The sequence below is a fragment of the Homo sapiens genome, chromosome 2, assembly GCF_000001405.40.
Source record: "Homo sapiens chromosome 2, GRCh38.p14 Primary Assembly".
Classification (NCBI taxonomy): Eukaryota; Metazoa; Chordata; class Mammalia; order Primates; family Hominidae; genus Homo; species Homo sapiens.
Window position 1 is genome coordinate 207,985,594 of NC_000002.12, and position 14,161 is coordinate 207,999,754.

General features: G+C 41.4%; 1 protein-coding gene across 8 annotated transcripts in view; it reads right to left on the reverse strand.

Annotated features, from left to right (window-relative positions):
• Positions 1-14,161, reverse strand: part of PLEKHM3 (pleckstrin homology domain containing M3) — a 204,240-nt gene that overhangs the window by 164,306 nt on the left and 25,773 nt on the right. The window contains exon 1 of one of the 8 annotated variants that reach the window (XM_017004072.3): positions 12,150-13,435. The exons of the other annotated variants lie outside the window; for them this stretch is intronic. The gene's annotated coding sequence lies outside the window, so the exon portion shown is untranslated. Of the gene's footprint in view, positions 1-12,149; positions 13,436-14,161 lie in introns of those variants that run through there. 8 annotated transcript variants of the gene reach the window in all.

Sequence of the window (14,161 nt, forward strand, 5' to 3'; positions counted from 1 at the left end):
AGTAATTAGGTATGTTCACATATGTTAGCATATATAATTATTGACTATTAATGTGCTTTCATTTTGGTTACTTTATAAAATTTTGCCTTTTTAAAAAATACCATGTTCTGGCCGGGTGCGGTGTGGCTCATGCCTGTAATCCCACCACTTTGGGAGGCTGAGGTGGGCGGATCACAAGGTCAGGAGATCGAGACCATCCTGGCTAACACAGTGAAACCCCGTCTCTACTAAAAATACCAAAAAAATTAGCCGGGTGTGGTGGCAGGCACCTGTAGTCCCAGCTACTCGGGAAGCTGAGGCAGGAGAATGGCGTGAACCTGGGAGGTGGAGCTTGCAGTGAGCCGAGATTGGGCCACTGCACTCCAGCCTGGGCAACAGAGCGAGACTCCGTCTCAAAAAAAAAAAAAAAAAATACCATGTTCCAGATCACAATAAATGAAATGTTTAGGTAACCCACTTTACCTTTCAGTCTGGGCTGCCCGGGTCAGAATAATGAATGAACCCACAGGAATAGGATTCTGAAGATCAGGCAATAGTTGGAATGAAAGACAAAGTGCAACATTTTAATGTTTTCAAAGAACTCAAAAGCCATGTGGTGCCAATATTCCATATCAAAATTATCTAGGAAAATTTAAATGAAACACTTATTATAATAAGATTAATCAATGTGAAAAGAAGCCAGAGCAGAAAGTGGATGGAGTACTCGTAAGACTGCAGTATAACACTCTGTCCTAGACAGGCTCACCCGGACTGCTTCTCTGTCAAAGTTTAGCAGATCTATGACATTTCTTTCACTGGATCATCTTTCTTTTCAGTTTCTCTACAGGCTATCCAGGCTATAGTAAGCTGAAAGGATAAATGATATTATCTGGAAGTCAGGAAACAGGGTTTACAACTGTTATATAGGCTCAAAGACAAGGAAGCAAAGCAATTTGACCCACATTTATGGAGCACCAACTACGTGCAAAGCAGGGCACTAAGCTTTGTTGCAGACATGAAGGTACAGAAGTTCTTAAGGTCCTTACAATTTGATTGTGGTAAATTACTTGAATATAGACTTCTCCATCATTACAAATTTTTTTGTTTTTTTTTTTTCAGACAGGGTCTTGCTCTGTTGACCAAGCTGAAGTGCAGTGGCATGATCATGGCTCACGGCAGCATCAACCTCCCAGGCTCAAGGGATCCTTCCACCTCAGCTTCCTGAGTAGCTGGGACTACAGGCGTGTGCCAACCATGCCCAGCTAATTTTTTTTTTTTTTTTTTTTTTGTAGAGACAGGGCCTCGCTATGTTGCCCAGACTGGTCTCAAACTCCTGGGCTCAAGCAATCCTATTGCCTTGGCCTTCCAAAGTGCTGGAATTACAGGTGTGAGCCACTACACTCGCCCTCCATCAATATAATTGATTAGCTCAAGATAAAAGAAAAGAAGTATCACTTCAGAACAAAGATATTCCTTTGATTTGGCTTGTCTTCACTTATGGCCAATACAAATAATCTGTATTCAACTGCTACTTTCTCTTGTCTTTTAGGCCCCATTTCCAGCTTTCCAGACAGCATGCTACTTGGTTCAACCTCACCTAATGGCTCTGGCCCAGGTGCTGCCAGCACTGCACTGACAGCCTAGAGCATGAGAGAATGTGGTTAGACTTCCTGAGAACCATTCAAACACCTACCAGCCCTACTCCCTCCTCTAAGGCTGCACACTTCTCCAAGGTTAGTTACAACCTCTAGGTTTCAAGATTCCACTCTAGCCACCGACTCTAATTCCAGGGGGACTACTAAACTTCACCTGTTATACACTGCCCTACTGTCAGCTCCACCCACCCTTGGTCTCGAGTAACAACCCCTTGTGGCACTGTCTAAAGCAAAGACAAAAATCAATTTTCATTGACTGCTATTGACTTCCTGGAACTCTGCACTGAGAAAGATGCTGAGACACATGCGGACTCAGCGGGAAAGAACACTGGGGTGTTGCTGTGGTAGGTAATAATATGAGTTATGCATTTGCCCTCTGGTTTTAGCATCCTGACAACACAGTTCCTTACCCTCTTTGACTCTAGAGACAAATTCTGTCTTCCACAACAGTAATATCCTAGACCTTTTAGAACTCTCCATAATAAAGTTCTTATCAATTCCAACCTGGTCCTCCTTCATTCTTTACACAGGCATTTTTCTCAGTCCACCTCACCTGCCTTCCACTCCATCTTCATGAGGGCCTTCAATCACAAAACTCTTCCACCTTACCCCTTACAACCTCTTCCCTGTTTCACTGGACTCCTAGCTTCTCAAGATCCTGTGGTCAGTAGCTAAAACTCATTTTCTCTTACTTCTCCGATTTAATCACCAATTCTGGATCACACCATCATCTATATTCTCTATTTAAATCTAGCTTTCTTGAGCAAGAGATAGAAATGCTAACCCCAGCAAATACAAATTCATATTGCTCACCTTCTATCATATCTTTAATCCTGATAATCTATTCTTTTATTCACTTCAGTGGGTCTGAAACACAATCCCCAGAACAGTATTTCCATACCATCTTCACTTTCCTCAAACACCTAATTCCACGGTCTCTTTCTCTGTGCACTGTAGGGAGCTCTTGTATATATAAGATGCTTGGCTTCACTTCAACATCATACTAACCCATGTCCTGTAGAAGTGCCACAGAGCCCAGTGGTTAAGGCCACAGTTGCTGGAGCAACCAGCCTAGGTTCAACTCCCAATTCTGCCCTTACTGCCTACGTGACCGCTGACAAATTATTTAACCTGAGTCTCAGTTTCCTCATCTTTAAAGTGGGGCTATCATAGTAGTATGTACCTCACTGTACTGTTGTGAGGAAGAAATAAGTAGCTCTTAGGACAATGCCTGACACTATGTAAGTGTTCAACAGATGTTTTCTGTTTCAGCCTTTTAGTATCAAAAGAAGAAACATTTTGCTTCCTTGCTATAGCAGACCCTTCCACCTCTACTCTGTTAACAAATTCCTTCCTACTTCTCTAGAATCCATTCCTCTATAATATGTTGCAATTCTCTCTCTACTAACCTCCTTTTCTCCATCTTCCAATATCCCAAGGTTTACTGTGTCTATTAAAAAATTATTTGCTTGACCTACCCCCTTATGGCTGAACCCGTCTTCTTCCTTCAGATTCCATGTGCTTACAACGCCTCTTCTTCCTGGTCCACATGACCTGGCCTCTGGCTATTGCTCTGGCCTCATCTCATATCATCTTATAACCCTTGTCTCGCTCCAGCCACAATCCTCTCTTATGTTCCTTGAACAAGCCAAGCACATTCTAGCTCCGAGGCCTCTGAGTTGCCATGTTCTCTGTCTGGGGCTTCTCTCCCCAGCTCCAATACCTTATTTGCCTCTCTCAATTTTTCACCTCAAAAGTGCTGTCCTCAGTGAAGCCATCCCTTAAACACTCAGGTTAAAGAGCCCCTCAATCGTTCTCCATCACACCTCTTGCTTTATTTCCTTCAAAGAACTCTCTCCTCCTGAGAACAGGAACCTTGATATCTCTCTCCTTCCTGAATACCAGAGGCTAGCTCCATAAATATTGTTGACTGTATCAGCAAAGGACTTTGCTACAATCTGTGGAGATACCAAACCAATCAGACACAGATCGTGTCAACAGAGTTTATAGCCCATAGTGGAGAAAAGATGGGCCCCAAAGTATCTGCAATATGCAGCATAAAGTACTCAGAGCCTTCTAACACGCAAGAGAAGAAAGAGAGGGCTTTTGCCTGGGAAGTTCTTAAAAGTCTTGAGAAGGAGGTGGTATCTGAGGTAGACTTTGAAGACAGGATAGAATTGATATTCAGAGACGGCAGGAAGGGGTAAAGAGCATTCCAGATGGTGGGCCTTCACTTAGATTTTCCCTTTCCTTCATCCATTATCCTCCATCTATCCCCAATTACAGCCTTTCTTTTCCTTTTCACAAGTCCCACTTTCTCTTTATTGCCACTATCACACTAATCTGAGTCCTCAACACTAATCTGAGTCCTCATCACACATCATGACGCCTGGCAGACCTTCTGATTGGTTTCCATCCCTTAGTTCTTTCCACCTACCAATCATTCCATGCACTGTTGGGGCCTGAGGAGACCCACTGAAGAGCCTTCCTTTTCCTCACCCAACTTTTGAACCAATTGAGATAGACAGAGGGTGGTCAGATACATGGGGATCAAAACATCAGACAGTTGGAGGATGCAACTTAGTTGCGTAGCAGCAAATTGAACCCCAGGATTTCAGAGACTTACCTCTGAGTCACAAGCATCACTGGATAGCCAGAGGCCTCCCCTCCTGGGAAACTGCCCATGAAGGGCTGATGGCATGGAGGAGCAGATCTGGGGGAGCGGACCAGAATTAGTGCTCTTAGGACAGCAGCTGAATTACCTGGTTCCTCTCCTAAACTTGCCAATAAGTCACTCCTCCTTCTCATGGGTGGGGTGTGCAAAGGGATGGACGGAGGCCAAGAGTGCTATTCCAGCTGACGTCCCTTTACATGGACACATAAAGCCACTGAAAAGGAGGGTCCCTGCTACCCTATCACCACTTTCACCCCACCAACTTCCATATTTCTTATTAAATACCCTTTTAATCTTGAGTCTCAAGACATGTGTGGTTGCTTCTTGCCAAATATATCACAGTAAGTCTATTCATATGGCTTTGAAGGTCCTCCAAAGTCTCAGCTCACTACTCCAAAATGTACCCCTGTTCTAGGTTAGCCTCCTGACCATCTCATACATACGCTGTGTTCTTTCCACCTTGACTTTGTGCTCAATCCTCAAAGCTCAGCTGAAATAGCCTTTCCTCAATGAAGACTCCTCTGGCATTCTGAGTCACAATCATCACTCTTTTCTTTGCATTCCTGGTTAATAAAATACAGTTTTCCAAGTCAATTTGTTTCATATTATAGTACTCGACTATGTTCAAGCCAGAAACAAACGGAAAAAATGAACTAATTTTAGGTCTTTGTTCTCCTCATTACAGGCACATCGGGGCACACTAATCATGACACTGCCACACATGTCCATAGCAAAGAACATGAAGAGAGTGATACTACAGGAATCAAAGCTGGACTGTGTCTTGCACATATTTAATATGCTCCACAGGCCCTCGTACAGTGTTGGCCAGTGGAGTACACAGATGGTATTCCACAGATATTTTTATTAACAAATTTGTTCTGGTAGAAATGAACTAGTCTTTTCTATGGCTACTTTGGAGACTTTCTTTTTGGGTAAAAAGAGGATATTCCATTCATTTTCCCTTCATAAACCTAGGAAAAAGATTACCTATGTCAGCTCTAGTGGAAACAGACCTGTAACATATCTGGCTACATATTAACATTAACTAGATATACCAGTTTAGGGATCTCTTCCATCCAGTTCTTTGCTATGGGCAACAGTGATAGAGCATAAGTCAATACATTCCTGGCCAATTTTTCTCAAGTGTGAACCTGACTAGGAGATCACAGATCCAACTTTTTAAAAGCAGAGATTTTCTGTCTTCTGTGATGAGGGCAAGCCTTAGCCTCTGTTGAGGTTTTGGACCCAGGAAACAATTCCAAACATCACCTTTCAAACCATGCTTATTCTTTGCCATGGTGAGCTTTTGGCTCTATATATCTAATCTATAGGAATTAAATATAAAAGACCCTCCCATACTTAGGCTGCTGGATTTTAGGCATAAATGGCATTCCATTACAATTTCTTGATGCAGCCTACAGAATTATAGAGACTTAGAGCTGGAAGAGATCCTAGAAATCCCACTAGCACATCCACATGTAAGGCAAAACCTATCAGCTGCCTTCATTAACAGAACCCTAATTTTGTTCAGGTATGGGGGCAATATGCTCAGGAAAGATGGCCTCTCCCCTGCCCTGTAAAAAGAATAATAATTTGTTTAATCCAATCACAGTAATCCTATTTTCCTTTGCCAGAGATTGCCTTAGGGGTGGACATGTGACCCAGTTCTGGCCAAGGAGCGGGTGCTATTGGGAGCCTCTGGAAAAAAAGACCCAGAAGAGATGCCCTGCTCTCTCTCTTCCTGGTTTTTACTGTTGGTATTTAAGAAAATGATCCTAACACATTTGGGAAGTTAGGAAAATGTTTTTTAAAATGATCCTTGGGGCAGCTGTAGCCACTTTGTACCAATGATGGGAGAGAAGAGAAATCACCAATATACCAAGGAAAACAAAGCAAAAAGATGGAAAGCCTGTAGGTCCTGGATGACCCCAAGACCACCTACCCCTGGGTATCCTGTGAAGTGTTTATTGCATAAGTCCTCGACATTCACTAAGTGCTCAATAGTTATCTGTCAGATAAAAGAAAAATTACAGTGATATTTTGGCCTTACTATTTGTGCCACTTTTGGTTGAGTATTTTGTTACTTGCTTCTGAAAGCATTCTGACTGACTGAACACATTTGGAAAGAGGTTCCAGGAAGCAAAATGACTTGGCCAAGGTTATACCACAAAGTGGGCAAGTTGAGAGTGGAACTCCAACCTCCAGACTTTAAATCTAGATCACACTGTGTTTTATTTGTGGTGGAGGGAATGAGTCCTAGCCTTCCTCAGGCTGGAGAAGCGGTTTAACACAGTGGTTATGTGCAGTCTTGGAGTTAGACTTGGCTTAGAATCCTAGCCCTGCCACATACTAGCTGCATAGGCTTGGATGAGGTCATCTTCTCTAAGCCTCAGTTTCCTCATTTGTAGAATCAGGATAATATCATCTATTATGTTAAACTGTTGTGAGTATTAACTAAGATAATGAACACTTCTTAGCACAGAGCTGGGCATAAAATTATCGCTCATTAAGTGATAGCTCTTACTGACAGTATTAATAATAACAAACTTCATTCAACTTGAATCAAGCTGTAACTAAGGAGAAAGGAAAGAGTAGCCCCTTCCATTCTGAATAAAAAACAAAACATCACTATTCTGTCCTGATTTTTAAGCACCAATACACAGAATTCAACCTTCCATGTGTTCATGCTTGGTACAGTACAGTTTTCTACAATACAGTTGGTATCTTCAAAGGACTTCCAATCTGGTGTGGGAGATGGATGGACAAGCAATTATCTATCGTGCACAGCAGAGTAAAATGTGCCATGGGAACATAAAGTGAAAGGGAAGAAAAAAAAAAGAATTTTAATTGAGAAAAATCTGGAAAGGTCCCAGGGAGGATGTGGGATTTGAATTGGCCCTTGAAAAATAATGGAGGATTTTTGGAAAGTGAAAAGGGCAGGGAAAGTATTCTGGGATGAAGAGACAGCAAAGGCCCAGGAGCTTGAAAGCACATGGCACTTTCAAAAATGGCAAAAAGGTTCAAAAGCAAGAAGGTATGGGTGATAAGGTTGGGAAGATACCTGGATGCTTTATAAAGTTTACACTTGATTTTGTAAGAAATGGGGAACTATGGTTCACTTTTGAGAACAAAGTGACATGAAAAGATTTGTGTTTTAGAAAGAAAACTTTAGCAGTTTATAAAATTAGTAACCATAGTTTTCCTTAGCCAAAAAGAAAAAAAAATTAATAGGACAACCAGGAAAAAATATCAGACATTTTGATTTAAAGGTTCCCATAGAGAAGTGTTATGAATCAGAATGTGGGCTGTCAATGAGGCATATTGGGTTTCCAAATAGCTGCCACAGGCCAACATTCAATAATGTAACCAATGGAAACTATACGACCATATAAAATCAATTTTCTGTGACCTATTTTAGCAACTTCTTTGTACTGACTAATCTTGCTGAAGGGTGAATCATAAATTCAGCAAGAGACCATGTCCTGGTGACCTCACTTGTTCTTAGCCTGCAGGAATATTCCCACCTCTACTGGCTCCAAGGCTTTTGAGAAACATCATAATTGAAAAAGCAGTCATTTTAGTATAAGTCCCAAATTTGGCTTTTTTTTTTTTTTTAAAGTGAAAGATGGGAAAAAGGGAACCGAAACAGAGTAACACAAAACCTGAGATAAAGAAACTATACTGCCATGGTTTTTCTAGCCCTAAAGAAAATCTCTGCTTGAGATCTTCTCCTGAAGTACTTAGAACAAGAAAATACAGGCATAGGAATGGTACCAGGTCACCAGAGAGTGAAACCGACGGAAACAAAAGCCCAGTTGACCACTGCCCTTGCCAAGCAGATGAAAATGTGAACACAGTCAGGAATGGAAAAGTAAGTTAGATTCTGGCAGTTTGTTGAGTTTCAGAGCTCTGTAGCTAATGCAAAGGATTTCTTTAAAAATTTTTTATTTTAAAAATTGCAACAGTGGTTCACCCAGAAGTAGAGTTACAAGACACACAAATCTTTCTGTGTTAAATAATTTCAACCATACCTACGTTTTCATTACAATTTTTTATTATCTGACTACAGTAATTAGCTTCCACACAACCATGAGTCAGGGTCAATTCAAATACATCCTAGAATGATATAATTTTGGAGTTGGGAAGGACAATAGAGATAATTTAACCTGCCTCAGTAGGTTCGTAAACCAAACGCAATAGACAATAAAGTGGTTTTTCCAAACTTACATGGTCAATCAGGAGTAGAGTTTGGATAACCTTTCGGGTCCTAGTTGAGGATTCTTTCCATATAGCCTATGTATCTATACTTTGTTATAAGTGTGCGTGTGTATAACCTGTATTTCATATATATGTTCACATGACTTTTTATGTTCTTACCTTATGACACATTTATGTTTAGATTGTAATTCTGAGATGTTAAGACCTTGTCTTCTTTATCCTACGGCAAAGTCCTTGGTGCTTATGATTGTGTCATTACTCAATGAACAAGAACAGATGACAGTGATGCAGAGGGAAAAGGGTTTAGTACAGACAGTAGTGAAGAGCATGTCTTTATACAACTAAGAGCAGTGCTAAGACTAGAAATCAGCCATTCTTTTTTTTTTTTCATTTTCTGGAGTTGACTTGTAAGAAATCAGCCATTCTGGTAGTAGGATCAGGGCCCACTCTCAGGGCTAGTTCCCAGTCACACCCTGCTATAGCTACCAAGTGCATAGCAGATGCTGGGATGGCAGTAAGGAGAGGCACTGATCCTGAGAAAGCTTTGGTGTCCACCATCTACCTTGAGGTTCTTCAGAGATAACTGCCTCTGCTGTCACTTTGCCTTAGATCTATTTCTTCCCATCATCACTTCATGATTTAACCCTGAGACAAAACTATTCAATCCTCAGATGATGGAAATGGTGTTAACTATTTAGATAGGAAAAAAGCCACATCCCATCAACTGGTGGCAACCTTCATCCACTAGCACAGCCGACATTCCTTCTTAAGAAGACAGAGCTAGGTCTGTCTCTCCATAAGGCAAGGCAATCTCCCAAGTAAGACAGTTAAAAAATGGGCCAAACACGTGTATACCTATGTAACAAACTGGCACGTTCTGCGCGTGTATCACAGAACTTAAAGCATAATAATTTTTTTTAATGGGGCAAAACCCCAAAGCTCTCCCTTCCATGCTTACAAACCCATCAGGGTCGGTTCACTTCAGCTGTTGGCATGCTAACATTAAAGAGTATGAAAGGCAAAGTGACCATCTTCCTTTTGCAGATTCATTGGTCTCCTAAGAAACTGTGACCGGCTCTGTGTCCGAGTATTTCAGTGAATAAGTTAAATGCAGGAAACAATCCTTGCTTAGCTGGATTGCTTTGGCATGCCTCAGTTTTTCTGAACCCATGATAGAGTTACAAGGCACACATAAATCTTTCTGTGTTAAATAATTTCAACTATACCTATATTGGTTAATTTTAGTTCAGTGAACATTATCGTACTGATCCCCACCAACTACCCCCATAGAGATTTACTGCCAATGAGGCTTTCAAAGTGGAGGGCTGAGGAGACTGAGGACCACTAGCTTCCAAAGTAAGGGCACAGCCCCAGCTTAGTGGTTAAGAGCCTGGACTCGGAGGAAGACTGCCTAGATTCAAATTGAGGCTCCACTCCTCCCTCACTGTGGGAATTTGAACAAGTTACTTATGCTCCCTGTGCCTCAGTTTCATCATCCTTAAAACGGGACCAATGAAAAACCCATGTCACAGGATAAGCTGCTACCTATAAAGCAGTTAAAATTATCAGTGCACAAAGTGTTAGCTGCCACTGCCATTATTATTATTATTTTTCCCTCTCTTTCCACCTGGGCTCTCTCACTCACCCTGAGAATAAACACACTAGGTGCTCAGATGTTGGCTTTGATAGTAATAAACAAACTGTTAATCTGGTTCATGTATTCTTCTCTCATATATCCCTTCCCCATTCTAGGAAAGCAGTGGCCTCCAAATCCAAAGCAATAATCTTCTATAAAGAAACACAATCAAGGAACAGAGAAAAGTTGAAAACGTTATAAAATTATCTCAAATGATTGCCAACTTCGGACAGACTAAAGGGCAAACCACAGTGATCTCACCAGGCTTTGTGCTCATCAAACAGTCAGATTCCTGTAAGAAGGGAAATCTTAATTGTGCCTATGCAACTCAGGAGTCTGAAATGGTATCTAAATAGCTCTCCAAGACCAGAGTAACATTCTTCCAACGTTAGGGGCACTTTATAAGCCACACACAGTCAGGGAGGGGAAAGTGAACACAGTCAGGGAGAGAAAATCAAAAGTGTTTGATTTTCTCTTATCAGGGCAGCTTTTGAGACAAAAGCCTATGTTCATTTTTCAGTATTTACTGCTGCTACAGAGCTTCACAGAGAGGATGTGCAAATGCCAAATGGTGATGTGAAGGTGGAGAAAGGGAGGATGTCAGAAAAGAGGGTGGAGTCATTTTTTCTAGAAAGACACAAACCAGCTAAAGAAGTTAATATCTTTAATTTATCAGCTTAGTTCTTGCCAGAATTCATTCATTTTACATTTTAAAAATGTTTGAGCACATATTTTTGAGCACATGTTCAAAGCACTAAGTTAGATACTGAAGATAAAACAATGGGTAAAATTCTCAGGTGAAAAGTAACTTAAAAAGAAAAGAAAAACAAATAGGTAAGAAACAATCGCTTCCATCAGTGACTATAAACTCTGGTGTGAATGACAATTAAATAGCTGATCACAAATCAGTATGAGAGAGGGAAAGAATGGTCTATTTCCCATTAACAAACCAGTTAATAACTATGAGAAAGTGTACCACAGGAAGGCCAATTCATTTCAAGAAATATTTATTATGAGGCCCATTTTATAACAAAAAAAAACTTGAAATGCTTGTTAGTGTCACTTTGATTCTCACTGATGGGTTTCAAATTCAATTCATAATAATAACAATTATATCATTAAATGTTTAAAACTTTTATTAAGTGTTCAAGTGTACTGAACATGGTTCTAAGAAGCACTTTAGATGTTTTAACCCATTTAATGCTCACAAGAAATTGAGGTCAGTACTACCATTACCTCATACTTTATGTCCAAAAAAAAAAAAAATTACAATGCGGGTACAGAGTGATTAAGAAACCTGCCTTATATTACACAACTAGTAAGTACTAGAGCAAAGTTGGAAACCCTGGCAGTCTAGGTTTAGAGTCAGTGTTTCTAACAAATATGCTACTTTGTTTGACCAGAAGGCCTCCTTCAGACCAGGCTTCCCTATTAGCAAAATAGCTGCTACACCCTAGCTACCCACAGCCCTCATTATACCGGAGCCCAATTTTGCTTTATGCACCCAAAGCAGCACTTATCCTCAGAAAGGCTCAAGAGCCTGGTTATTCATCACCAATTGAGACAGAAGACGCAGAGGCCCTACCTGATGAAGAAGACCCTTGGACTTACTACAGGAGGAAGGAAAGAGATGGAGGAGGGTAGGAGGAAGGAGCAGACGAGGGAAGAAGCACTTCCAATAAGGCTTTAAGCTATTCAAGGTGAGTTCAGAAAAAGAGCCAGGTAAAAAAATGAACATTAACTGGAGAAAACATAACCATGCAGTAATAACACCAGCAAGTAAGAGAATGACAGGACCAGACACAAAACCTGTTGACCTCATCGAAAGAAATCCACTGAGGAAATTTTATTTCTTCTGAGGAGCCCCCAGCCTCTCATTAACCCTTGTTAACTTAGAACAGCAGGAATGGGAGAAGGGAGGATTATGGGTCATTTGAGACACTTTGAATTTGAGGTGCCTTTGGTACATTTCAACAAAAATGCTCACCAGGCAGTTGGAGATGCGAGTCTGCAGCTCAAGGAAGAGGTCTTGCCTGACCCCAGATCTCCTGGGTCCTCATCTCCAGCTCTAGCCAAGGTACTACACTGCCTCCCTCTGCTTTTGGCATATTCCTCAGGAGAAACAACGAGTCTTTCTTCAGTTTGGATTACTAACTTCAAAGGTTTTAAAATAAATTTTACTCAGAGATCTTGGCTGATTTTGACTAGTTGGCACCTGGATATTGGCACACCCCTCCACAAATGCTTATGAGAATACCGGCCTCAGAATAGGTGATCAGCCATGCAATCTAGAACTCCAGCCTGAGAATGGGTGGCCACTGCTTGCCCCTGCCCTTCAACTGATGGGCAATAGGAATATGATTTATCTTGCCTGCTCTCCAGAGAATGCCGAAAGAAAAGGTGTCAAAAACTTGGCATGCCATTTACTCACATTCGCTATCTCCTGGATGACTAAAAGGTGGCAGTGGCTGGGAGCAGTGGCTCACGCCTGTAACCCCAACAGTTTGAGAGGCCTAGGTGGGAGGATTGCTTGAGCCCAGGAGTTTGAGACCAGCCTGGGCAACATAGCAAGACCTCGTCTCTACTAAAAATAATAACAATAAAAAATTAGCCAGGCATGGTGGTACATGCCTGTAGTCCCAGCTATTTGGAAGGGTGAGGTGGAAGGATCGCATGAGCGTGGGAGACTGAGGCTGCAGTGAGCTATGATTTACACCACTGCACTCCAACCTGGGCAACTAAGTGAGACCCTGTTGGAAAAAAATTTAAAAATAAATAAATAAATGGTGGTCAGAATATATTATAGCGATACTTGCAAATGCCATTTGTTACAGCTGACTTTTCAAACTACCACTCAGTTCTCATATTTCAACATAATTTAATATCAAACTTTTTTAAAACATGAGAATTAAAAAATAATTATCATGGTCTGTTGAGCACTCAAAGGAGTAGTTCAGGTCTTTACAGAGCCTAATGAAGGCTGAATTCCTATATTTACAATCAAAACAAGATAGGAAAAATAAAATTGCAAATAGGACACCCTCTTGACTCGTGCTACACCAGGGATTTAGAATGGTTAAGGAGGTTGTAATAAAAACCTAAATGAATGCCAAGAAACCAAAAAGCTACTGAGGTTATTTACTAATCAGAAGGTGCAACTGCTTGTACATGAGCTCAAAGCAAAGCTATGATTCTGCTAGGCACTGGGCTTACAGCAACTTGTATGTCCTTTAATATCTTTTTTTTTTTTGAGACAGAGTCTCCCTCTGTCACCCAGGCTGGAATGCAGTGGCACAGTCTCACTGCAATCTCCGCCTCCCAGGTTCAATCGATTTTCATGCCTCAGCCTCCCAAGTAGCCGGGACTACAGGCACGTGCCACCAAGCCCAGCTAATTTTTGTGTTTTTAGTAGAGACAGGGTTTTGCCATGTTGTCCAGACTGGTCTCTGACCTCAAATGATCCGCCTGCCTCAGCCTCCCAAAGTGCTGGGATTACAGGCATGAGCCACCATGCCCAGCCATGTCCCTTAATATCTAATCAGTCATCAAGTCCTGTGCTTTAAAATATCCTTTTCTTAGCCAGGCATGGTGGCTCATGCCTGTAATCCCAGCTACTTGGGTGGCTGAAATGGAAGGATTGCTTGAGCACAGGAACTCAAGACCAGCCATAGCAACATAGCAAGACCCCATCTCTAAAAAAAACTGAAAAAATTAGCCGGGCCTGCCTGTAGTCCCAGCTACTTGAGAGGCTGATGTGGGAGGATCCCATGAGCCAAGAGTTTGAGGCTGCAATGAGCTACAATTACATCATCATATTCCAGCCTGGGAGACAACAAGACCTTGTCCCTAAAAAAACAGATTTTAAAAGAAGAAAAAATACATGGAATGTCCTTTTCTTTTTACTCCCATGGTCACTACCCTTGGCTAGATGTAAGACTGGTGAGAGCCTACGAGAGAAGACAAGGAATTACAAGTCATGAATTAGAGTGGAAAAGATTT